We start from the raw sequence: 26,442 nt of genomic DNA, 5'->3' as shown, positions 1-26,442 counted from the left end.
AAGGAGAGGCATAGCCAGGCTCCCTTCCACTTCCAGGACAAAGGGCCTCGTGAAGCCTAAATCAGGAATCTCACCCCATGAAGAGGAGCCCATGGCCCAGAGGGGCTAATAAGGAATCCCAGCAATAACAATCGCCAACACAGACGGGCCATTCTCAACAGTCCATCAGCCAGGCCACGCCCTCTGCAGTACACCCCCATAAGCTTAACCCGTTATCACCTCACTCCACCCAGGAGGAAACCAAGGCCGAGAGAGGCGAAGGGATTTGTCTACAGCCACAGAACTTCTAAAGTGTAGTGCTTGGGTTTGAGTCAGGCCCTGTGACAGCCAGAGCCTAATCCGTTATAATCTGTCACAGGCAAGACTCAACCCAGATGCACCTGACCCCAAAGGTCCCCAGATTGGCCTGCTCTGCAGCCTCTACAGGCCCACATGGAGGCAGAGACTCCCAGGCTGCAGCAGCCTCTGTAGGGCAGAAAGCGCTTCCCAGCAGACAGAGGGGACCCAGCAGGAGGTCATCTGGGATGGGTACTTCAGAGAAGAGCTGGAAACATGGAGGCTTCTCACCGCTCCCCTTTGGAACCACAGGCCAGGGCAGCGGGTAAGCATCTCAGGCCATGGCACAAGGGGTTGCCACCCACCCCAGGCGATCCAGCCCCTTCCTCACACTCACCAGGCCTGGTGGAGGGGCTGAGGGGAAAGAGGCAGGGGTGGGCACCAACCCGCAGTGCTCATGAGCCTGGTGCTCCCTGGAGAAGGAGGGCAGGTGGGGCTGCCTGAAGGCTTGGAACAGGAGTATGCTCCCTGCCCCCACAGTGCAGCATGCGTGTCCACAGGCACGCCCAGCTGCCACTGGGCAGGAGAGCCCTGCAGCTGGGACAGAGTCCTGGTCACACAGAGCAGTGAACCCAGCCCTGAGAGCCGGAGGCTACACCTAGGGAGACAGGGAGAGGCCCAGGGAGATGGAGGCAGATTCAAGCTTGTGCTCTGCTCCTAGCCTGATGGTTTGGGTACCAGGGGTCCCTCTCCCATTCTCAGCCTCATGTCTTCATGTGTCAGATGGAGCTATGTACCCTTTGTTGGTGGGAGGGTTTGACTGAGGCTTAGATGAGATCATGTGTGGGGGACAGAGAATCAAGAATCTTAAGGCCAGACATGGGGCTGGGGTCTCCCCACCACCTCCCAGGGCCTTGCTGTGTCTTGGCCTGTAGCCACCCATTTGTTCAATGGGGAGATGGAGTCGAAGATTCTCTTGCTCTTAAAAGTCACCTGTCACCTTCCCAGCTGGACAGGGGGGCCAGAGGGGTTAATAACAAATCCCAGCAATAACAATCACCAACACAGATAGGCCGCTCTCAACACGACTGAGGAGGAGGGTTCACGAACATGAAGCGGTTACCTGGGCCCCCAAAAGTGAGATTCCAGGGTCCCATGAAAGCCTGCAGACTCAAGCAGAGCCCCTACCATCTGGAGTGGCCTGGAGCAGAGCCAGGCCTGCCGTGCTGGAGATGAAAATGGTCCCAGGGTCTGTGGTGGGGGTGGGGAGTGGGGGCCTGTCACCCGCCGGGCAGGCTGGCGGGATGAGCCGAGTCTAAATAAATCACTAACACACGGGTGGAGAATTCCTTGAACAGGCGCCCAGGATTATGGACAACAGAGCAGAGGGGAGGGGGTGGGGGAGACGCTCAGGGGAACCATGCATGCAACCCTCTGCCTCTCACGCACCACGGCCCTTCCCTCTCTCACTCGAGGGGCTGTGACTGATGACGGGGGCTCAGGGTGGGGGCGCCTCAGCTGGGGGCCTCCTCTGCCCAGGCCCAGCCCCTCCATCCATGTGTGAGAAACTCAAAAAGCCCCGGCCTGTCCGAGGGGAGGAAGGTGTTGAAAGCCGCATCCTGCTGGAGGCTGAGCCCAGGCCAGAGATAATATCATGTGCGCTGCAGCGCCATGGGGCGGAGCCTCGCCACCCCCGGACAACCCCCCACCTCCTCCACACCCCACCCCCTCCCCACGCTGTCCCTGCTTGGGCGCCCCACCCTGGGCCCTGAATGGGAGCTATACGGCAGGAGCTGGGTTACTCCCAGCCTGTAAGGTGGCCTGGACCCCATCCCACTGGACTCACCCCAAGCCTGAGAGACCCCGGCAGACCCAGGGCAGGGGCAGAGGTCACCCTGAGCAGTTTGAGGCTCTGGGGCTGTCTCAGATCATCCTAGGGCTCCCTCCTGCCCCTTTCTGGACCTCAGTTCTCATATGTGGACATGGAGGGGTGGTGCCCCCGTCACCTCTAAGGGTCTCTAAGCCTCACAGTGCCCGTACTGGGTCATGCAGCTCCAGGGGCGGGCTTGGCTGCTGTTGGAGGGATGGAGGGATGGATGAATGACAAACAAGAACGAGTAGAGGACCCACAAACCCTGCAACCCGAGGACACCTGGGGACCAGGTCCAAAGAAAAGCATCTGTTTCCCCGCTCAGCAATGGTACTCAGGAGCCTTGCAGTTCCGTTTACAAAGGGCATCTACACTCGCTCCCTTGACCCTGGGAGGGAGGACAAGGAGGGCTTGATGCCCCTACAGCGCATGCGGAGACTAAGACAGGAAGGTCCAGCTGGGCTCAGCACCAGGCAGTCTCCCTGAAGGCTTCCATGCCCTCTGTCTCTGAGCTCCCAGGAGCCCCCGAACTGCAAACAGGGCAGGAAATGTCAACCTGCCCATCTACTCGGTAGATGAGGCATCCAGGTCCAGGGAGGGGCAACACTGGGCACTAAAGAAAGCCAGCCAGGGCAGGAGCACAGGTGTCCAGCTCCCAGCCTGGCCCTGTCCAGGCCGGGCCCAGCCTGCTGTGTGCCTGTTGCAGGAGCTAAGGGTCTCTGCCCAGTCAGTGCCCTCAAGAGCGTTGCCATGGAGGCCGGGCCCCAGGTCTCTCTCCAGCTTAAAATCCTTCCCTGTTTCTGTCCTGTGCCTGGCATTTGAGCCCCTCATCCCCCAGCCCCTGCTGGCCTCTGCAGCATTCCCACCTGCTGCCAGCCACCCCCTGCAGTGCTGAGGCCCTGACTCTGTGCCAGACAGCAACGGGAGGCCTTTGCCACACACTGGGAGCAACCTCCAACACCTGTAGCCTCAGCTGCTCCAGACCGGATGCCCGCTCAACATACCTCTTGTTCTGGAGTCTGAAAATGCCCCTTCGACGTGTGGCTCTGTTCGCTCACTCCCACCTCATCTGCACTCCAAATCACCCACTCAAACTCTGGGTTCCCTGAACCATCCCAGGTCCCCTGCCAGGCCCCATGAAGTGTGGAGAAGGCCCCGGCTTCAGATTATGCCCCCTACCCCCCGGGTATCTTTGGCTCACCCACCACCCTTCTCTCAGCCTCGGTTTCTTCATTTGAAAAACGGGATGGTGATTCACCCCTCAGAGGATGTGTGGTGCTGCAGGGCTCTGAGGAAAGGAGAGGGAATGTACTTTGCAGATTGTAAAATGCTGTTCAAAACGCATATGAAACATAGGGGAGAACTTGGTAGTGATTTCCAGGGCCACGTGGAGATGGGGGAGGGCCTTCCTGTGCTAAGGCCTAGAGGTGGAGCACCTTGGGGGGTCCTGGGGCTAGTGACGCCACACTGGGAGGGCCGGGTCATGGGGCCACCTCATTCTGAAGGGAGCGGGACCTCTGTGGGGGGCACGCTGACTGGCACCTTCTCAAGGCAGACTCACCCAGGGCCCCTTCTCTGAGGGCAGACAAGGCCCTTTCCTGTGAACTTCTCAGCAGCCCCTCTAACCTCTTAGAAAACAGAGGCTCAGCAAGGAAAGAAACCAACCACAGTTGCGTGGCCACTCAGAGGGTAAGGGCAGGGTCTCGCCAGCTGGCTCAGCTTCTGGGGCTGCTCTGGGCTCAGGCCCGCTCGCCCCTGACCGCTCAGCCGGGGAGATGGAGGCCTGGCCTGGAGCAGAGTCCCTGCTGGCTCCTTGGCCCCTGCCCAGTGCTCCCCACACACTGAATGGTCCCCACTGCAGAGGCGTGTAGGCAGACGGTGCTGGAAAGTGGGGATTTTGTGATACTTTAGAAGGGGCTGAGTGACATTTACCCCTCATAAGAGTTTGTGAGGCGAATAAATAGTCAACATGATTGCTTTACCTACTGAGGAGGTCCAGGAGTCATTCAGGATCAAGACCAGCAAACAAGTTCTGTGTCCTCTGCCGGCCAGGGAGCTACCCTACTATCTACTGGTACCTTCATGACCCTTGTTTCGTTGACTCCTCACAAAAGCCCTGCGAGGAAACAAGTATTTCCTGATCTACCGATGAGGACACTGAGATTCAGAGCAGTTAAGTCACCTGCCCAAGGTCACACAGCCAACAAAAGACAGAATAGGACCTTGAACTCAGGTCTGTGGATTTCAGGTCGGGGGTCCTTTCCACTGCCCCACCATTTCATCGCCGATCCCCACTCCGATCCCACACCCCCATGGTCCAGAGAGCAACTTCACCGGAGAATGGGGCCCTGCCCTTAGCACTCCCTCCTTGAGTTGGCCTCAGCAGGGAAGATGCTGCTGTCGGGAATGTGGGCATTGCCCCAACCCATGGGCCCCCATCTCTCGGGTTAGTGCCAGAGGCTTCCTTGGAGAGCAACGGAGCCTCTTCCTCAGGCATCCAGGGGTGAGTGCCCCCTAAGGTCTGTCATCCTGCTGTCGTCGGAGTTTGCCCATTGACCCCCCAGCTTTGTTCTCCCTGAAAAAGCCCATCTTCTCCAGCTCCTCAGGCACAAGTGGGGCGCATGCACGCACTGGGACCACGCGCAGCTTTATCCTGAGGATGGCGGGGAGTCTGGGAGGGTGTTGAGCAGGAGGAGACAGGGTGGAGCCAGGCTGGAGAAGACCCTGAGAAGCTGGCGACCTTGAGCTCCAGACCCCGCACTCATCTGCATCCCCTTGAGCCTGGGGGTGGGGGCGAGAGGGCAGGGCCCAGCGGCATGTCCACACAATTATGTTTTTGTAAAATCTGCAAAAATAGAATGTTTTAATTGCAATTGGTTAAGACCTCAGTCTCGCTCCTCTCTGACTTCCACTGCCCTTCTTCCCTGGAACAGCTGTATTTGGGGGATCTGGCTGAGGGAAGTGGAGGATCCTGTAGCTTGGGTTTGGGGATGTATGTATGGGGCTGCAGTCACTTGCATGTCTGTTCTGTTCTTGCTGGCCATCATGGTGTGCAGTGGCTTCCAGGAACACTCCCACCACCCACCAGCACCATGACACTGTGAGGCAGAGCCCGAGGTCATGAGGGACATCAACGTGTCCAGCAGACCTTGGCACTGGCGGCATGTGGACAGTGGTGAAGAAGCCAGGAATGAAATGGACAGAGCCAGATGCTGATACGTGGAAAACACTTCCGATCACCAGACTGTGCAAAGTTGCAAGTGGAAGATTTGGTTCTCTTCGATGTGTACTCCACGTGGAAGTTTCCTCCTGTCAGGGGCACTCAGTGAAGCTGCAGGTTTAACTCTAAAGGCACCGTTCGTTTTATTCTCTTTCCTTATGACAATCATACAGAATTCAACTTCTCAGAATTCCCGTGTTTTTGGCAAACGTGTAGCAGTATTACAAACAACAGATACATCTGTGCATTAAGCTATATGTTTTACGCATCCCAGGTGATGGAACCACAAGTTAGAATACCAGCTTATCCCATCCTACTGCAGTCCGGCTGCTCCAGATGAAATAGCAGGCAACTTTTTTTTTTCCTCAACAAGGGCTTCCACATCGTACAAGCCTCAGCCTCTCAAAACTCGACCTGCCCTGGTCTACCAAGAGGCCTCCCAGCCTTGCTCAACCTCTGCAACACTCTTTCTCTGGCTGTAAATTGTGTGACCATAACCAGGGATTCCCCCAGACCCAGGCACCCCCAGGCCTCACCTGTACTCTTGGAACCCGCATCGGCATATTTCCCCCAAGCCCCCCCATTTCAGAGTCTGAAAACCTCCCCTTCCCAGGCCTCCCACATTGGGGACGCATTTTGGCAGGTAGCACCTCAGTGGCTGGGCGGGGGCCAGAAGAACAGGGGCTCTGAAGGAGCAGATGCTGGGCCCCAGCCCCTGCCAGGCCTCTGCAGCTGGGCTGCACGTGGCTGATCAAATCGCCAGACGCGCAGCCTGTTTAGGAAAGGAATCTGGCCAGCCTGCACGTCCAGGACCTGTCTCGCAGGGAGGGGAGTTTGCCTGGTTGGACCCTCTGCAGCCTTCCTGCTCCAAGGTGCTCAGCCTCTGCTGGCTTCCCTCTCCACACCCCACGGATGAGGTGCTCACCCCCTCTCCGGGGAGTCCCTTGCACCCTGTCCAGCCAGAGCCGTAAGAAGCCTTGCGTGGAGGGAGCATCTGCCTCTGGGTGGCCTCTGCCCACAGGTCTGGGGTCTACCCTTGGATCAAGCAGGACAAACTCAGCCTCCCTTTCAGCATCTAGAAAACCCCTGCTCCCACTCGTCCTTCACAGCCCAGGCCAAACATCATTGCCCTTTGAGGTTTTCCCTGCTCCCATCTCACTTCCAAAGTTCAGGAGCTCCCACATGGGGCAGTGCAGTCAGCCATTTTTCTCTAATCTATTCTCCCTATCTATTTTCAGACCAGATAATTTCTGTTAATCTGTCTTCAGGGTCAGGTAGTCTTTTTTCTGCCATCTCCAATCTATTGTCTAGCCTAGCCAGTGAATTTTCCATTTCAATTATACATCAAGTATGTGTGTGTGCATTTATATTTCTCTGTTGAGAATCCCTTTCTTTTCACTCATTAAGACCACTTTTTTGGCCAGGTGCAGTGGCTCATGCCTGTAATCCCAGCACTCTGAGAGGCCAAGGTGGGTGGATCACTTGAGATCAGGAGTTCGAGACCAATCTGGCCAACATGGTGAAACCCCGTCTCTACTAAAAATATAAAAATTAGCTGGGTGTGGTGGTGGGCACCTGTCGTCTTAGCTACTCGGGAGGCTGAGGTGAGAGAATCACTTGAATCTGGGAGGCGGAGGTTGCAGTGAGCTGAGATCGCACCACCACACTCCAACCTGGGTGACAGAGTAAGACTCCAACTCAAAAAAAAAAAAAAAAAAGCCACTGTTTCCGAAGTCTTTGCTAAATCCAACATGCCAACATGCATGCCACTGAGTCAGTTGCTGTTGTTTGCCTTTTTTGTTTTCCTGAGTGTAAGTCACATTTTCCTGTTTTGGTGCAGCTTGGAAACTGGGTTTTTTTCGTGCTCCTCTGATGATTGCTGTATTTATTCTGCTGGGGGGTCGTTTGCCTGTTTCAGCCGCACATTCTGTCTCCTCCACAGTGCCGAGCAGCAGAAACCTCTGCTCCGCTCCCACAGCTCCCACTCATGGCTTTTCTCAGTGTGGCTCCCAGGGGTCCCCTGCAGCTATCACTGGGCAGTCATCCAAGGATTGGGAAGTTTACATTCAGATTTTGGTGCTCACTTTTCGATGGTTCCCTTGCTTCTGTGGATTTTCCCCTAAATTTTCAGCTGCTCTACCAGGCTTGGACTCTGTTCTCTGATACCTCAAGGCAGTAAGACTTTTCACTTTCTGCTGGCTGCGCTGTATACAGGTTGGGAAATTCACTCACTGTTCAAAAAGCAGGACACTCACATATTTTACCCAGTCCAGAGCTGCTCTGTCTTTCGAGGGTAACTTATCTCCAGTTCCTGCCTGTTTTTTTTCACCAGGCCCTCTAGCATTGGAATATTTGGACAGAATCTGTGCTCGGGTTTCGGGCCTGAGGCCTCCTGCAGTTATCTCACTGCCAGGATGTCCCCTTTGATGCTCCAGCTGCCCTTACAGTTCTGAACTCTACTCTCTACCACCTGCTCCAGCCTCGGGGGTGTGAGAGTGCTGCCATGATTCTTACCTCTTCTCTTTGCCATTTTTCAAGAGTAAACTTTTTTTCCGGCTTTTGTCTTTCTAAGACACTTTCCAGGGGCTTTACATACTTTTTTTTTTTTTTAATACTTTGTCTAGATTCCATAATTGCTATCTGCAGGACAATTCATGCAGCCACGTCATACCACTGCCATTACAGGAAGTTTCTCCCACTGCACTCTTTTGAAAACCTAGGCTGGCCACAGGCGGTGGCTCACACCTGCAATTCCAACACTTTTGGAGGTTGAGGCAAGTGGATCACTTGAAGTCAGGAGTTTGAGACCAGTCTGGCCAACATGGTGAAACCCCGTCTCTACTAAAAATACAAAAATTAGCTGGGTGTGGTGGCACGTGCCCTGTAATCCCAGCTACTGGGGAGGCTGAGGCAGGAGAATCACTTGAACCTGGGAGGCGGAGGTTGCAGTGAGCTGAGATGGTGCCACTGCACTCCAGCCTGGGCGACGAAGCAACACTCCGTCTCAAAAAAAAAAAAAGAAAAGAAAACCTATGCTAGAGCATGTCACTCTCCATGCTGACAGCCCTTCCAAAGTTTCCCATTGCACTGAAGATCAAGTAAAAATTCCCTAGTGAGGCCTACAACACCATACAATAAATAATGTAGGGATTATTTCAAGGTTAAAAATTCCTGTAGAGACCCCCTAAGGTTGAAACCTGATTTTTCTTTGTAATATCGCCTAAAGAAGTCTGTGCCAAGGTGGGATCTTTTCCTTCTCCCCCTCTTTCCTGAAGCCTGGCACACACTGAACCCAGAAGTCAGAGGGGGCATTTGGGAATGCAGCCGTGGTGGAGTGAGAGACAGAAACACTTTGGGCACAGTGAGGCCAGGAGGGACCCCACTTGGCGCTGCAAATGGTCAGAGTCTGTCTGGTGGATGCGCTGCCAACAGGAGCCACAGCCCCTTCCACAGCCTGGACCCTCCAGGGGCTGAAGAAAAGAAAAGAAAAGGTTGAACTCAAAGAGGGAGGGAAACCCAGGGGTTAAAGGCATCAGGGGAAATAGTTCAGGGGCCAGAGAGTCTAGAGGAGAGGGCCTAGCCACAAAGGGCACCCAAGGATCTAGAAGGAAGACCCAGGTTGGGGACGGGTGAAGCCAGCCCTCCCAGGGCTTCCCACCTCCTCTCATAGGGTGGGCAGCTATGGCACAACCCTGAAATAAAGACTGTTTCCATGTCCTCCTGGGTCCTGTTTTTTCCGGGTGGTGTGGAGGACGGATGATGAATTGCAAGGAAGAATTATTATAGACTGTTCCATTCTTCCATTTTCACTCTCGAGAACATTTTACAAACTAAAAACTAAATATAAACTAAGGTCTATAGCTCTCCCACAACCATTAAACCAAAACAAGTTTACAAATTAAAACCACACAAAACTACTAAGCCAATTAAATTCATATTAGCAATATTAACGTGGTGGATGATATTTTGCTGAAACTAAATCACTGTCTATCCTGTGACCCTGGCAATCCTGCCACATGCCACACTGCCAGTTCCTCAGCCTTTAACATGCCCACACTACAGGTCAATGACAACTTATTTCTCTCCCTCCGAATCTCTAGGGCTCCTTTGTCTGGGCTGCAGGCCCCAACATCCCTGGGACTTCACTCAGCAGGAATGCTTCGTGCGTCCAGTCGCCTGCTCTGTCCCTGCTCTGTGGCAGTGAGAGCAGCAGCCGAGGCTGGGGTGTTAGTCATTCCTTTGACTCCTTCACCAATTCCCCCATTTACTGCCTCCAGGGCAGAGTGGATACAGCCCAGAACGATAAAGGGAGTTGAAATGCTGCCTGTCTGGAAAGCCAAGCTTTCCCCACAAGGCCAGGCTTTGTTGAGCAAGGAGAGGATGTGTGACTTCTGACCAGACAGAGCCTGGAGGACTTTGAATGTACAACCATCAAAACAAGCAAACAAACAAAAGCCATAGAGGAGAGAAAAATACACGCTGGTGATGATGTAGGAGTCTTCTCACCTTTGAAAGAGGAAGTGAAGGTGTGAACAGCTGCAGTGGGGGCTATTTGGAAGGCAGGAAGCCCAAAGTCAAAAGATTCGTGGAGCTGGAGAGAAGCACTTCCTCTCCGGTCCCTGTCCCCTTCTGGGTTCTAAATGGGAAACAGGGACCTGACTGCCCAAGGCCTGCCAGGAAGAGCCAGGCAAGCCTTCATAGAAGTCCTCCGTGTTCCTCAGGGTGCAGGACAGCCAACCAGCAGAGTAGAGAAGTCCATGCAGGTGGCCTGATCTCAGCAGTGAGGGAAAGTGGGCTAGGTGGCTGAGCCCCAAGGGAGCCGAGTGGGCCTTGCCCTGGGGCACAGGGTCCCAGGGTGAGAACCAAGGAAGGGCCTCTGCAGTGGGGCCGGCCCCTGACACCCAGATGAGCCACACCACGGGCAGGTCAGGAGACACTTGCCTGAAGCCTGGTCCCTGGGGCCAGAAGGGGTGAGGTCAGGAAATTTGGGGAATTTGAGCATTTACCCCCTAGGGGATAATCTTTAACTAGAGATGAATGAGTTGCCTTGAAGTGGTCAGATAAGCGTTTTGCTGCCAGCGGCCAAAACAGGTTCGGGTGAGGACAGTTACGGGGAAATAAAGTGATATTTCTGCACATTAGGGTTGTGGCTGTAAATTACACCCCATCACATGCGGTGGCTTCCTTGTGCCAGCAGGATGGGCCGGGACTAAAGCTGAGTCTATGGAGGCAGCCAGAGGGGTCAGGATGCACTTTGAAAAAAAAAAAAAAAATCACCAGGCAGTTTTGGGCGTTTGGGAGGGGGTGAAGTAGTGAAAAAAAAAATCATCAACGCTGAAATACAAAATACAATCATCAGGAAACACCCTGGGTAGGAGGGGCGCCGTCTGTAGATCCCTTGAGGAACTCGGACCACCGCCCGCGCCTCCTCCGCGCGGTGGCCCATCGCCCAGCTCCAGCCTCTGAATCCTTCACAGGAGCCGTGCTCTTCTCTACTCCAAGCCCCTGCACAGGCTCTTCGCTCGGCCTGGCATGGGCTGTGTCTGGGTTCAGGTCTCAGTTTACAGCTCACTTACCCGAGGCTTGCCTGAGATCTTTCCTGGTCGCCCGTGGTTTCCCCAAAGCGCCACTCCATGGCTGTTCAGCCAGTGCCGACCGACAGGGGGAGCCCAGTCAACGTGAGAGGCAGGAAGGAATGGCGGGAACGGGGCCCGCAGGGCTGAGGTCAGGCAGAGACGTGACTCAAAGGTCCTGATTTCAAGTCCTAGCTCTGTCACTTTTTAGCTCTGTGAACTTAGCCAAGACTAACTTCTCCGGGTCCCAACTGCTTCCTCTGTAAAATGGACACTCAACACACCAAGACGAATCTATCCAGTTTTCCTGAGCACAAGCTGTGCCTTAAAATCCCGCGCCTGCCCCGTGGGAGCTCATGGGCTACTGAAGGTGACAGATAGGGAAACATACACGTAGGGACATGTAGGAAGGGCTGTGCTGGAAGCACACACAGGTAGTGGGGGAACACAAAGGAGGGAGAGTGGGTGGGTGGAGAGTGGGGAAGACGTCAGAGAGGACTTCAAAGAGGAGAAGAGGGTAGCTGAGCTCTGGCATACAGGTGGACAGAGGTTTGCTGTGGGTTAGGGGGGAAGATTCTAGGCAGAGACATCATGGCGGCAAAGGCCCCAGGGCTGCAGGAGCAGGGCGTTCTGGGAATGGCAAGTGCATCCACCTGGCTGGAGGGCAGGGTGTGTGCCACAAGGCACAGCGGACTCCAGTCACCTGTCATCCATCATCCATAGCCAATCTTGTTTCCTCCACACCCCATTCACACCCTATCCCCAATCCCAGACAGATGCATCTCATCTGTAAATATTTCTCTATGCATCTAAGCAACAAAGACTTAAAAAACCAAAACCACAATGCTATTATCACACCTAAACAAATAACAAGTCCTTCATATCATATTTAGTCAGTGCTTCCATTTTGATTGTCCCTTAATTTCTTTTTTTCAGTTTGTTTAGTTTACAGGAACCAAGCACGGTTCATAATGGGATTGATTTATATGTCTCTTGAGTCTCTTGTTAATAGGTTTTCCCTTCTTCTATGTATTTTTTCTTTCAATATATTTATTGGAGAAACCAGGTGGCTCGTCCTGCGGGGTTTCCAACCGTCTGGATTTTTCTGATTGCATTTTCCTGGTGTTAAAGGCTCATCTGCCCTTTGAATTTCCCATAAACTGGTAGTTAGATCCAGAGCAGTACCACCCAATAGTAAATCATGTGAGCCACAAGTGCAAGTCACATATGTAATTTTAGATTTTCAGGTAGTAACATTTTAAAAAGCAAAAAGAAATGGATGAAATTAATTGTATCTTACTTAACTCAATATATTCAAAATATTATCATTCTAACGTCATCAATATAAAAATTAATACAAAAGAATTTACATTCTTTTTTGTACAAAGTCTCTGCAGTTCAGTGTGGATTGTGTTCATAGCACATCTCAATGTGGATTAGCCACTGTTCAATGACTTCAGAACTCCATGTGGCTGGTGTCTGCTGTCTTTGGACAGCACGGATAGATGCTTCATTATATTCAGGGTCAAACTTATGCCAAGGCTATTTCAAAGGTGTGTGCTTTTCCATCAGGAGGCATCAGGTGTCTGGTTGCCTGCCTTTCTGTGCCATTGATGAGCATTGTCTTAGACGTGCTCATTATTTAGGAGTTGCGAAGAGCTGACAGCCTAATTCTATGATCCCTTCTGAATCTTTTTACTTGGAATATTTATATAAGAGAAACTTCCCTTCACCAACTATCCAGTTAACTAGTGTGTACAATGCATATAGCAAAGGTAAGTAAATGTTGCTTTCTTTTATGTAACAGTTCTCATAGGGTGAGAGCTGTGTTTAGGACAGGTCAGGTGCTTGCCATGTGGAGAGTGGGCTAGAGGGCACAAGAGTAGCTGAAGAGCGCCTGGGGAGGAGGTGATTATAATCCAGGCATGCTGAACTCAGGGGCAGCAAACCACCCCTTCCCATAAACCTCAGGAATCTCCTTCAAAAGGCCCAAGAAGCTCCAAGCCACCTTCATGGTGCCCCTTCTGCCCTGGCCTGTACCCTGGAATAGTCACTCCAGTCAGGCCCCCATCCCAGGCTGTCCCTCTTCAGGGGCCAGGCGGGAAATTCGCCTGCAGCCTCCCACCCATGCAGATGGACAGCTCAGCCCACTCCTGCCCGGCCACCCTTCCTTGCTGTCCTCACCATGCCCTGGGGCTCCCCCTTCTCCCCTGTCACCCCAAATTTTCTCTGGGGCCTTGCTCCTTTCATTGTCCCGTCTTCTTCCTGAACCTTTGCCTTCTCCCTGCTACTGGCTCCATCCCACTCGCATTTACAGGAAATCTTCCTTCGGTCTCACAGTCCCCTCCAACTCCCACCCATATTTTTCTCCAGCACTTTATAGCTAAACTCGCAAGAGTTGTCTACACTCACTGTCTCTACTTCCCCACTGTGCACGCCCACTGCCCCTTGCTTCCTTGCTGCTCCCCAACCCTGAAACAGCTCCCATGGAGGTCACCAAGGGCTTCAGGCTGTGCCTGCCCTCACCTCCCATGGCTCCTGGGTCTTTGGCCCTGTTGACCCTTCCCCATCTCCATGGTTTCTGTCCTGTGTCTAGTCCCACAGTCTTCCACGCTCAGCCTTGGGGGAAGCTCCTTGGGCCTCTGTTCTGGCCGCTCTTCTGCTAACCCTGTGCACAGATCCCCCTCCTTCCCCCCACCCAGCCATATCCCCTGCCCCCGGCCCTCAGACACAGGCTCAGTCCTCCCCTCCCCAACTACCTGCCTTACACCCAGCTCCAGCGCAGCTCTGTGCCCTCTGTACTTTCCTGTCTCAGCCACAGGCCTGGCAGCTTCCTGAGGGCAGGCACTGTGTCTGCCTTGTGCATTTCTCACCCTGGAGCCTAGTCCAGCGCTTGGTGTGCAGTGTGCAGTCAGTAACCATTAAACGCACGAGTAATGCAGGTTCCCAGCAACGCCTTTGTTCTTGCTTCTTACCCTGGCTGGTAGCCCTGGCCCCGTTTCACCCCCTCGACCTGCCTGTCAGACACAGCTAAGGGGAGTCCTCAAAGAAGCACCTCCTGCCCCTCTTACCCCCGCCCCTTTTATGCCTGTGAGTCATTATGTACACGGCCGACCTCATGGACTTTTGACAGTTATATCGCATTTCCGGCAGTTATAAATACACATTTTTCCCCCTTAAAGTTGCTCCACACCCCATAGCACAATGCTGTGAGGTGCTCAGTTTTTCCACTCCCTGCACAGAGATGTCCCCCGGATTTGCTCCTCCCTCTTAACTGGGGCTGCGGAGTCGGGAGGACTCTCGGCAGAGGGCAGGATGTTCAGATGGGTGGGACAGAAGGAGAGGCTGTGGGGCCTCCACAGGGCTTGGGGTGCGGAAGAAAGAGCCCTGGGGGAGAGGTCAGGGCCTGGTCCGGCCCCAGTGTGGCCTTGGGATCTGTGTGATCTTCAGCAGGTCATCCTTCTTTGGGGGTTTCCTGTGGGTTCCTGGGTCAAGTAGTGATGGGAACACCTTGCCCACACACTCTGCAGGCTGGCCTTGGGATCAAATGCAATTATTTGGGGGGAGCGTTGAGACAGGAAAAACACTGTGCCTGTTTGAGGGATCACTGCATCACCATGGAGAGAAAGCAGGCGTCGCCGTATAGATGTGCGCAGGGCAGGACAGGGCACCAGGGCCTCAGCTCCTGTTCTGGTTTCCCAGCTGGTGGTGGCTCATTAGCACTCAGAATATTTACTGAGAATCAGTGTGACTTACTGTTTACAATAACACAGTTCCACAGTCTTCTATGATCCTGGGACAGCTCTGCTTCTAAAGGTTTCCGATGCTCATTCTGGGAACACTGGGCCTTCACAGAGCTCCCAGGGGACCAAGAGACAGACACAGGTGTGACTTACCAAACTCAGCCTGTGCTCTTCCTCACTCACACTGCCCCGCCCCATACCGACACGCACACCTCAGGAGCACCTACTGTATGCCACTGAAGGCAACGCTTAGGCACAGGTTGGGGCTGAGAAGTCCAGGTGGCCAGCAGGTTTTTGGCAGCAAAGGGCCTGTGCTGAGGTCAGCAGGCTCTGGAGACGTGTGCTGCATGAACAAAAGGTCACATATCACCTGCACACAAAGAAGCCTGGAGTCTTCTCACATCAAGTGTGCCTGACCCTTGACCCAAAGAGTGAGTAATCTGTGGAAATACACAGTGAGGCTGGTTTCTTTGAGGGATAAGGTGTTCTGCATAACTAAAAAAATTTTTTTTTTTTTCCGAGATGGAGTCTCGCTCTGTCGCCCAGGCTGGAGTGCAGTGGCACGATCTCGGCTCACTCCAACCTCCGCCTCCTGGGTTCCGCCATTCTCCTGCCTCAGCCTCCTGAGTAGCTGGGACTGCAGGCGCCTGCCACCACGCCCGGCTAATTTTTTTGTATTTTTTTTTTTTTAGTAGAGACGGGGTTTCACCGTGTTAGCCAGGATGGTCTTGATCTCCTGACCTCGTGATCCGCCCACCTCTGCCTCCCAAAGTGCTGGGATTACAGGCATGAGCCACCGCGCCCGGCCTAAAATTTTCTAAAAAAGTTTTTGCAAGTAAACTTTTGAGAGAACAAGTTTGTCCCTTAAAGCATCAACTTATTTTAACCATTTTGAATAATATACTTCCTTAAACTATTTTATGCATTTTCCTATCAAACTAAAATCAATGTATCCTTTTTGTGATGACTGGGGTCTATCCTTAGCAACAGTAAAAGTCACACTGAGGCTGAATTTTTTAAGCTGGCTGTTTTATTAATTTTTACTACACATTTTACAAGCTCTTGTGCCATGGACTTTGAACCGATGGCAGGGTGGAAGCTGTTCTGCTACATACAAACCACCCTGATCAGAAGCAGGCTGTCATGAACTGTGCCAAGTTCTTCACAAATAGGCATAGTGGCAGGTGAGAGGCCTCTCCTGTCGTGTCGTGCTCTGGGCCCCAAAGCAATTGGAGACAGGTTTTGAAGAAAGAATACAAATTTGCTCTTAGGGCAAGAGAAGCCTCCATCCAGGATCAAAGGAAATACAGAACAAGGGGCTGACTTCACTTTACAGACCAGCACGTGGGCTCAGAGAAGTCAAGCGCCTCGCCGGGGTCACATAGCCAGTGAGCGGCAGCGTTGGGGCTGAAACGTCTGTGACTTGCTCTCCTGTGAGGCAGGGTGCTGCTCAGTTAGGCCCCCCAGACCGCTTCCTTCCCAAGTGCTCCTGTCCTCTCCTTAGCTTCAGGCGGTCCATTAGTCCTGCCCCCTCACCCTCCGAGACTTTCTCATCTGAGGCGCCCTAGAACTGTGTTTTGTACACACAGCCAAAATGACCTGCGCCTGCCACTCTCCCCCTTGTAGTTCTGTGCCTGGGCTTGGCTACAGCTATTTCACCAACTGGCTGTCTCTTTCATATCTAGACTCATACTCGTTCTTGTTCTGGATTGCTGACAGTGCTGGCCTTTAAAAAGTGTGGAATTGTTTTAAAGACTTGTCTTTTTTTATTCATTTAAAATCCACAAGGCTGAGCTGTCTACCTACAAAACTATAATTAGATGTGCTAAGGGGGGAAAAAAAGAAAAAGAGAGCTATCTACTTCAAGCAGAATCAAGAGCTCTGGGCACCAACTCATTCACTGAGGCCGCCAGAAGCCGTGTTAGAGAACATTCACGAGCGAGAGTGGGCCTAAGGCAGCTCATCTGCCAGGGGCTAGAAACTGGAAATTAAGGCTGAGAGGCCATGTCTCTACACCTCGTTGGTGCCATCTACCACTAAAGCACTTTGAAATACTTCCCATTTGTTTAGAGCCTGGATTTTCTTCTTTTTTTCTTTTTTTTGAGACAGAGTCTCGCTCTGTCGCCCAGGCTGGAGTGCAGAAGCGTGATCTCGGCTCACTGCAACCTCCCCCTCCCAAGTTCAAGTGATTCTCCTGCTTCAGCCTCTGGAGTAGCTGGGATTACAGGTGCGCACCACCACGCCTGGCTGATTTTTGTATTTTTAGTGGAGACGGGGTTTCACCATGTTGGCCAGGCCGGTCTCGAACTCCTGACCTCAAGTGATCCACCCGCCTTTGCCTCCCAAAGTGCTGGGATTACAGGCATAAGCCACTGCACCTGCAGAGCTCAGGTTTTCAAAAGACTAGTTTCAGCCCTAGTACACATTCTCAATGTGTATAGAATGAGTATCTGTATTTCAACAATCCCACCAAAGCCTGAAACATAGAACGCAAGAAATCCTCGTTGAGTGACTAATTCCTCCCGATGTGCATGGTGCTTTGTAAAGATCATTCAGTGCTTTCACGAAGATGTTTATCTCTTCTAACATTCTATCAGTCCTCAGGGGTGGGGTATTATCCCTACTTCACAGATTAGGAGCCAAATCCAGAGAGGTTAAGTGGCTGTGCTCCAAGTGCTAGAACAGGAAACCTGCTGAGTCCTAGGCATCCCTTCTATCCTGGCAAAGTGGCTTCCTCTGGGACCCAAGGTAACCAACATTGATGGAGCACCTATGATGTGGTGGGTCCCCTGCAAACGTAATTGGGAAGGGCAGAGTCCTTTCTACTTCTTTACAGATGAAATGGAGGTTCTCAAAAGCTCAGTGACTTCCAGGGTCATAGCTTCAAAGCAGCAGAGTTGCAGAGAAGTGAACAGGTGCCACAGAGCATTCAGAATCTAGCTTCTAAAGAAGAGATGCTGGCTGCACTCTGTACTACACAGTAAAAACCCAGATTTATTCAATATGTACCTGTATTAGTCCATTTTTGTGTTGCGATAAAGGAATACCAGAGGCTGGGTGATTTATACAGGAAAGATGTTTAATTGGCTCACGATTCTGCAGGCTATATAAGCATGGTGCCAACATTTGCTCAGCTTCTGGGCAGGCTTCAGAAAGCTTACAATCATGGCAGAAGTCGATGGGGTGCCAGCATGTCACATGGCAAGAGCGATAGCAAGAGACAAAAGGGAGATCCCAGACTCTTCCTTTTTTTTTTTTTTTTTTTTTTTTTGAGATGGAGTCTCACTCTGTTGCCCTGGCTGGAATGCAGTGGCGCGATCTCGGCTCACTGCAACTTCCACCTCCGCAGTTCAAGCGATTCTTTTGCCTCAGCCTCCTGAATAGCTGGGACTACAGGCACCTGCCACCATGCCTGGCTAATTTTTTGTATTTTAGTATAGATGGGGTTTCACTGTGTTAGCCAGGATGGTCTCGAGGGAGATCCCAGACTCTCTTAAGCAACAAGATCCTGGGTGAACTGAGAACTCACTTATCATCAAACGGATGGTGCTAAGCCATTCATGAGGGTCTGCCTCCATGATCCAATCACATCCCACCAGGTCCCACCTCCAACATGGGGAATCACATTTCAACATGAGATTTGGAGGAGACAAACATCCAAACCATATCGTTCCCTGAAAATACTAGGGACAGAGGGATGCATCTCTTTTTCAGATACAGATTTTTCTTTCCCAAACAGAAAGGAAAGATGATTAAATAGACTCAAGCAAGTATCACTGGAGTCCAGCCTGAAACTAGCTGCAAGTCGTAAGTCAGATCTAACCAAGTTACTCTTTTGCTTCAAGTCTGGAAAGGGTACCTACCAGTTGCCTACCGGATTCATCCAAATCTCTTTATTTGGCACCTTAAGTTTTTCCAATTGGCCTATAACTCAGTTTCCCCTTTTGCCCTTCTTCACACCCATTCAGGCCCCAAGCACAGCACACTCCCTGCTGTTTTCCAAGCTCACACCCAAGGCCTTGCCTCTGGGCCTGTGCCCATGCTGTTCCACAATGTGAAATCTTACATATCTTTAATCTGCATTACTTCCATGGATCTTTCCTGACCCTTGAGTGACAATTAATAGCTTTGTCTGCATTCCGTAGAATGGCTATACATCTCTCCATCACAGAATTTAGCACACGGAATTATCATTAATAGCTAACATACCTGTGAGCCCCACTAGAGAACGTGGCAGAGGTCAAGGTTTACTCATCTCTTAACCTTGTTTAGCCCAGTCCCTTACACACATGTGCAGAGAGAGTGTGTGTGAGCGTGTGAGAGCAAGTGTGCTAGATAAATGCTGGCTGACTCTTTAAGAACAAGGTTTTCGTGGTTAACCCAGCTTCAATATGAAATTCAAAACAATGAAGACAGGACTCAAACATAGCAGGGAAATAATATACACTTTTAACTCTCAAAATAAATACTAATCAATTTTATTGTATAAATACAGATGCTGAGTTTTCTTCCAGTTACCAACAGATCAGTTTCACATGCCATTTATTATTCGTGGTGGTTTAAAAAATTATTTAAATAACTGGTTAGGTCAGGATAAATGGGCACCATTAGAACTGCTAAAAAATATATAGCTGGGCACAATCTTCCAAAACTAATATTCTGAGGGGAAAAAAATCTCTGGAATTTCTAAAGTGGTTAAGGGGAAGTGAAGAGAAAAAACACAATCAAATATTCATTTGATAACATTTGCCCGCTGTTTAAAAGTGTCTCAGCTGTAAGAAAACTGAAAGGGTTCTTAGCAGTTCAGAAATAGATAGTAATGAGTTTCCAATTCAACTTATATCTTCCAAGCAAACAATTTTCTTAGTGATTTACAAAACTAAAAGGTTAGTAGGAGATAATAACTCATCCCTTATTTTGGCCCCAGCCACTTTAAACAGAGGCCATACTAACTCTACAACTTTGGAAAACGTCAAACAGTTATTCCAGGAGACGGGTAATCCCATAGGTTCTACCCAGGTCATGGCAGAAACTGCAGACATCAAACAAGTTCAAATGAAAACCCCAAACTCGAACTAAACGAACCCAAACCTAAGTGGTGTTTTGAGGCATCACCACGGGGCTGTGTGGGTCGAGGCAAATGTGTAGGCACCTAGCAATCAGCTCTGAGCAGCCCGATGACATTCAAGAGCAGGGCTCCCCGCCGTGCGGTGAAAAGCCACAAGCCCAGGATCAACCAGGGAGTCTGCACAGCGGTGGGGGGCACTGACGGGTAGACCCCAGAGTCCAGGCTCTCATGGTTGTGTGGGCCTGAGATGGACACTGTAATCATGAGGAGTCCTGCTCCTTGGTGGTGCCAGCGCCAGGCTGGATGCCCTGCAACCCAGTGTACCTACTTTGAGTTTGGTGTGACATTTAAGTCCATCCCGCACCTGGGGCAATCGTAAGTCCCACGGGGTTGACCTTCCATTCTGCAATCCTAACACTGCCCTTCAGAACTTTTCTTTTTTTTTGGTAAATGTTACTTCCCTGGAGGGCCCCGCAGCACGTGCATATCCACGATGCTGTCTCCACCCACACTGACTCCAAAATGAGCGACAGACAGTACACTGCAGAGAAGCTCCTGCTCTAGGTGAAGGAGCCCCACTTCTTCATGTGGAGGAAGATGGGCTTCTGCAGATCCAGTTAAAGCTTTCGACTGCCTGAGAGTTGGGTTTATTTGTGATGTAGTCATCCTGTGAGTTCTCTACATGGAAAACAACAATGTAGCTATACATTAAACTTGAGCCCAGGAATGCTTGGACACAAAATAAAGTGACGGTGAGGCCTGTGAGTGAAGCTGTTATGCAGGACAAATGTGGCGACTGGAGTATATACCTGTCAAGTGTTTGTGTTGCTATATACAATATGCAAACTGAATGAAGTCAACAGCCTCCGCTTAGATAGACATGGCTTTTGTTCAGGCTAGTCCTGTCATGATGTGACATATGGAGACGTAGGTTCAAGAGGAATTTCCAAGCTGGTAAAAAAAAATCAGGTCGGGTGAAGTAAACTCAATTTTTATTCTTCTATATAATACATGGATATATGGATAAATTTTCCTTTAAAGAGTTTGCAACCCTGAGGCAATGTCCTTGGGTACGTAACGTATAAAGCAACAGCAAATGAAATCTGAATGCGGGAATGACAACTGGACTTCGAAACATAATTTAATATTCATGAAATTGCACACATACCAATAGTATTCTATGTCTCGTCTAGCCTCTTAATCCAACTATCTCAACTGCCTTGCAGTTTGCCTACCAGACACCCCAACTCTCTACATACATTCTGTCATGTAAATGCTGACCTTCTGACTGAAATTTAATAAATTAACATGGGATTTACATCAAGGGATTTTTGTCTGGTGAGTGCATTGCCAGAAAGCATGCCTAGTTCCTGACCACAGCATCTGCCCACATAAAAACTTTGGCCCCCACAGGGGATGAGATGGCATCTGACTGCAGTAACCTCGAGGTCCTTGAGGGTCCCTTGGGATCCACCAGGAGCAAGTTTTTCATCTAATCTGAGGGCCGCATTAAGGGTATGGCAGAGGAGGGGAAGGCCATGGCTGGTTAGAAGAGATGGAACGTCACAGCTACTGGGTTACAGAACCAGTGAATCTGATGTCCTGTTTTCAGGACGCATGGCCCATCCACGGAGAAGATGGGGCGACAGTAGGGTCTAAAGGTGGACTGTGGTACCCGGGGGCAGGAAGAGGGACAGTTAGGCCTAGATGTAAGGAGACCACTATGCTGCTTCTTCATCTACCTCACAGATGGCCACAGACCTTTCAGTACATGGCGGAAACCTATTTCTGAATATTCCGTTTTCCCAAAGTTTTATAAACCATGGTGAGGGCAAATGCTTATGAGAAACTAAGGGTGTGTTCATTATATTATTTATATATTATCATCTTCCCTCTGAGGATAACATACAAGGGTAAATAAAAAGCAGACAAATAGCTAAAAGGTGACTCGAGCTGTAAGCTCTTTCAACTAGAGGGTGATTTTTGCTTTAAAATCATCAGGCCCGAAAAGCAAATCTTGAAAGCAAAATCTAACTTTGGCCCACTGATAACAATGATCCTGAGTCCCTCCTTCATTCCCAAAGTCTGTTTTTCCGAGGAATATCCTCCATTAATATTCATTTTGTGTCATCATTATCACAAAGGGTTAAGTGCAGCTTTCACTTCATTTTAGGCAGAGCTTCTGCCCCAGTCCTACTGTTGACCTGCTCACTTCACTTATCGGAACTCCTGCGCGGCCGGCGGAAGCTGGATACGTTTTCATTCAGTGCATAGATCCTTCGGGAGAACTCTTCAAATTCTCCCAGAACTTGTTCGTCACACTCTACTGCCACAGCACTGTCCACTGGGATGCAGTTAAATGCTTCTAGCTGATCACCTGAGGCGAAACCTGTGGCTTCCAGCCCGATGATTTCTTCTGCTTGCTCCACAGTACAGCAGAGCTCAGCTTCTGAGACTGGGTGGAACTCGCCTGGAAGCTGGACACTGGCGGACCCGGCCTGCTCGCTGGGTAGGAGAGTGCCATTGACTGTGGCCCGGTGCCCGGAGAGGGCTTCTCCTTGTTCTTGGCTAGGGTGCACATTCGCGTGGCCTCCGTTTAAGCTGCCAACTAGATCCTCTCCTTTTTTCTTGTTTTCTTTGGAGAAGTCCAAGGAGGTATCCAAGGAGGAGGATAGAGATGTTATCTTTCTCTCGGTCTCTCCCATGGAGGGGACGGTGGTCACAGGCTGGGCTAATGCTGAGTTGTAACTGGGAGGAGGGGTTTTGTACTGAAGTCTCTCATTCTCAGAGCTGGCCCGTTTTCGATGTCCTTTGTCTGGTGAAGGGATCCCCCCAGAGAAGCCTACATCTGCACCCCCAAATATGGAGCTTTGTCTCTTAGGAACAGGGATTGCACTGGAGGTGTGATGTCTGTCACTAGAAGAGAAACAAAAACAAGAAGTTACTTTGGACTTCAGAACTCAGTGTAAGCCTTCTGGATCCAGAGACAGGGAACAGCATACTTAGGTCTGAGCTAATAAAAATAGATAAGAATCAATCTTAGACAATAGTTATTGCAGTGTCTCAATGCAAAAAACAACATGAGGTATGTGGGTCCAACTTTGGGAGCTTCCTTCCAGCAGGATACAGACACACTGCAATATATTTAGAGAAGAGGGCCCAAGGCAGGGCAGGGAACAGAAACCCTGTCCTATGGGGAAGAGGTGAAGTAACTGGACAGGCTGGATCTAGCAAGAAAAACATGTGAAGGATATAACTAACTTCATATTTCTGAAGGGCTATCCATAATCTCATTCTTGTTTTAGTATTCAATTCAATTCTTATTTTAGCTTTGAAAAGCAGGCATCCTCATCTGGCAGAGAATTTACATGACTTGCCCATGCTCAGTGAGGCAGTGAGAAGGATTTCATGACCAACAACCTTGCCAACACCCAAATGCTAACCACCTTGCATTAGAGGACTGGCAGAGGAGGGAGGGAGAGAGAGAGAGAGAGAGAGAGAGAGAGAGAGAGAGGGAGGGAGGGAGGGAGGGAGGGGGAGAGGGGGAGGGAGGGAGGGAGGGAGGGAGAGAGAGAGAGTCAAGGTTATATTTTAAAAATTAAAAAAAATTTTTGAGGGGTTCCTTTTTTTTTTTTAAAATGAAAAACTAACTTGGGAAATACATTCTTTGATGGGGCTAGCCACACATATGTTTTACAATACTTGGTCTGCAATGCTGTCTTTTGGGTCTGAGTTTCTTCTCAGGAGGGTATCTTTGGGCCAGCAATAACAATCATTGTTCAGTTATACAAACTTTATAATTTCTGAAGTAATTTCCTATACATCATTTCACTTAGTCTTTACAAAAACCCTATAGAGAAAGCAGGGTAAAGTCTGAAATAATAAATAATAATCAGTTAATGGAAATAGAGTATCTACATCCTGGAAATGATGGCTATGTTATACACTATGCTAGCTCTAGACATTCTTGTATGTGGATGAAATTAGCTTCAATACAACCATATGAACAGATTGGGTCCAGAGGCAGAGGGAGGCACACACAGATCATTTGACTTGCGTGCTTCAGATGAGGAAACACGCATAGAGGGTTAAGTGGCTTGCAGAAGGGCAACCACTAGGCAGGGGTAGAGGCAGAACTTGAAACTACACACACCCAACAAATAGTTCCCATATGTGCCTGGCCTTGGGGTAGGGAGACAGATGCAAGACCAGTAGGCCCTTCCTCCAAGGAGCTACCAGTCCTGCAGGAGAAAGACATCCCTCATTATTCAAATAATACATTTTCAAATTACAATAGCAAGAAGTGCCCTAGAAAAGAAAAGAGATCTGGGGTTTCTTCCACTTGTGTCTACAGCCACAAGCCCTGGCCCCAGCTCCCTGCTCTCTCTCCTCTGATGCAGGATTATACTTGCAGTCTCAGACACCCAAGCAAGGGTTATTCTTGGGAAGGGGCAACCACACGGCTTCTAATCCTTGGGTCTGTCAGACTCCTCTGCCTGGCTGTGAGTACTGGTGCCAGGAGAGATTTCATAATTAGGCGTGGTCACTGGGGTACATATAGAACTAGGCAAGTAGACTAGTAAATTACAGTGTTTAGTTCTCCAGAAAAACAAAACAAAACAGGGCAAAATCTGCTGGCCTCGATCTAGGTTTATAGTTAATATGTTGCCCAAATTCACAATAATTGGGTAAGCTACACATTTTTGCAAGCCTTGTTTTTACTCTACCATTTGCTAACAGTGTCCCTCTCTAAATCATCTTGCAGGTTGACTAGGTACTCAAACCAAAAGAGAACATCAGCACCACCTCAGACAGTCTATTCTGTGCAGAAAAGCCAAGCTTTCATTTGCCAGCCCAGCCCACGAGGGGTGGAAGCACCAGGTGAAACAGCCCGGAACACTGAAGGTGACTTGTTGGTGTGTGGCTAGAGCCAGGTGCTTAACCCCTCATGCTGTGACCCTGCGCTGCCATCCTCCCACCCCAGAAATCCTGCTCTGCTGTTTTGTGGGGCTCCCAGTGGGCTGATAAAAGGCAGGGCATGAGAAACAGGCCTGGGGCACACCCAGCAGTGCTTGCCGCACAAGAGGAACAGGGTGTTTGTAGCCCTCGTTGAGTTTGAGAACTCTAAAAGTTCTCAACTTTGTACAACAGAAAACTAATGAGGCGCGACAACCCCCACTGCCCCACCTTGCCAACTACAATGTGAAGGGAACGACCATTTTCCCGACTGTCAATAATGTTCTGAGCCCCGTGGAAGATGAGCTGCCCACACAGAGCCCTCGAGTGTCCTGTGAGGAAGATAGGCAGGTGGTGGGTCATGTGGTTTGTTCAAGGCTGAAGAACCACATCTGAACTAGATTCTGTCTGACTCCAGAGCCCATCCTATCTATTGTGTCCCACAAGGGAACACGACATTCAAATTCAAGTAACATTTGCTAAGTGCCAAAGACATAGTACACATCAAGCTAAATGCCTTCTCATTTGCCCACAAACTCTAAGATGGTAATGTTATTCCTCTTTTCATGGATGGACTCCAAGGCTTTGAGAGGTGGGAACTTTGGTATTTTCTGACATCCTGATTTTGTGACATTCTTCTCCAGTTCCCTTGGATTTGTATGAAAACTCAAGTAATGGTAGTATCAGATTCAAACTGGAAAATCCAAGTACCAGTAAAAGGTTCTCTCTCTTTTTATTTTTTAATTTAAAAAAAAATTTTTTTAGAGACAAAGTCTCACTCTGTTGCTCAGGCTAGAGTACACTGGTGTGATCACAGCTCACTGCAGCCTCAACTCCTGGCCTTAAGGGATCCTCCCACCTCAGTCTCCCAAGTAGCTGGGACTACAGGTGTGTGCCACGATGCCCGGCTAATGTTTTTTATTTTTAATTTTTTTTTAGAGACAGGATCTCATCATCTTGCACACACTGGTCTCAAACTCCTGGGCTCAAGTGATCCTCTTGCCTTGGCCTCCCAAAATATTGGGATTACAGGTGTGAGCCACAGGTCCCAGCCAAAATGGTCTCTCTTAAGAATGGTAAGGAAATTAGTTATTTTTGGAGAGATAATAAAGAAGTCTACATATCTAAGGTTTACCTTTTTATCACCACATTTTTTCCCTCCATTTTTAGTTCTATGAGATTTAACCTTTCAAAAATTTTTATTACAGCTTTTCTTACCATCTTAAAAAAGTTGAACAAGAAAAGGCATTTTCTCGTTGCCTCTGGGCCACTGATATGAACATTACTGAGCGATGACACAATAAGGGGACTACAGGATGTTCAGTGGTGTCTGTTCTGTAGGACGCAGGTCTGGAGGTAAGCCTGGCGTGGGTTCTTCGAGTCCCCTCTGGCGCTGTGGGTGGTTGAATCAGTGCCCCTGCCCGCAGTGGCCACTATACCCTTTCTTAGTTTGCTGTGTTCTTGTAAAGCAGATGTCCTGAAAATTGTGTGCAAAGTATGAGTAAACAGGATTTGCGTGGCGGGCCAGGAGCTGTCCTGGGCACAATATGCTGTATTTATTATATGAGTTTGGTAACATTAGTTTTAGCTGTTCAGAATTGATTTTTTTATTACTTCCAGGATCCCAGCTACATTCCAGATTTTTAAGATAGCCAAGCTCCAAACAGTTGAAGTATCAAATGATAACATTAAACACACATGTATTTTTAATTATTACAATAGTTTTACAGGAAAAC

The 26,442-nt window shown here is 50.0% G+C and overlaps 1 protein-coding gene across 7 annotated transcripts in view, besides 3 other annotated features; it reads right to left on the bottom strand.

Annotated features, from left to right (window-relative positions):
* Nucleotides 9,839–9,898: an enhancer, noted in NCBI's record as "active region_5284". NCBI's record gives its function as "activates an Ori minimal core promoter by ATAC-STARR-seq in GM12878 lymphoblastoid cells {active_cell/tissue: GM12878}" and the evidence as "EXISTENCE:reporter gene assay evidence [ECO:0000049][PMID:35858748]".
* Nucleotides 10,540–11,420: an enhancer, noted in NCBI's record as "H3K4me1 hESC enhancer chr11:75863001-75863881 (GRCh37/hg19 assembly coordinates)". NCBI's record gives its function as "activates a minimal SCP1, AML or CMV promoter by ChIP-STARR-seq in primed H9 embryonic stem cells {active_cell/tissue: H9 hESC(primed)}" and the evidence as "EXISTENCE:reporter gene assay evidence [ECO:0000049][PMID:30033119]".
* Nucleotides 10,799–10,888: an enhancer, noted in NCBI's record as "active region_5283". NCBI's record gives its function as "activates an Ori minimal core promoter by ATAC-STARR-seq in GM12878 lymphoblastoid cells {active_cell/tissue: GM12878}" and the evidence as "EXISTENCE:reporter gene assay evidence [ECO:0000049][PMID:35858748]".
* The window catches only part of UVRAG (UV radiation resistance associated), a 329,023-nt gene continuing 321,725 nt past the window's right edge, over nucleotides 19,145–26,442 (bottom strand). For 6 of the 7 annotated variants that reach the window (NR_170160.1, NR_170161.1, NM_001386671.1 and 3 more), the window contains one exon: nucleotides 19,145–22,666. Coding sequence is in view for 5 of the 7 variants with exons in the window: in NM_001386671.1 (NP_001373600.1) it covers nucleotides 21,964–22,666 (703 nt within the window). In the remaining 2 variants the exon portion in view is untranslated. Of the gene's footprint in view, nucleotides 22,667–25,947; nucleotides 26,184–26,442 lie in introns of those variants that run through there. The other variant, XM_047427520.1, reaches the window with a different exon arrangement.

Source organism: Homo sapiens, chromosome 11 (assembly GCF_000001405.40).
Source record: "Homo sapiens chromosome 11, GRCh38.p14 Primary Assembly".
Taxonomy (NCBI): Eukaryota; Metazoa; Chordata; class Mammalia; order Primates; family Hominidae; genus Homo; species Homo sapiens.
This window is presented reverse-complemented; position numbering and strand designations above follow the sequence as displayed.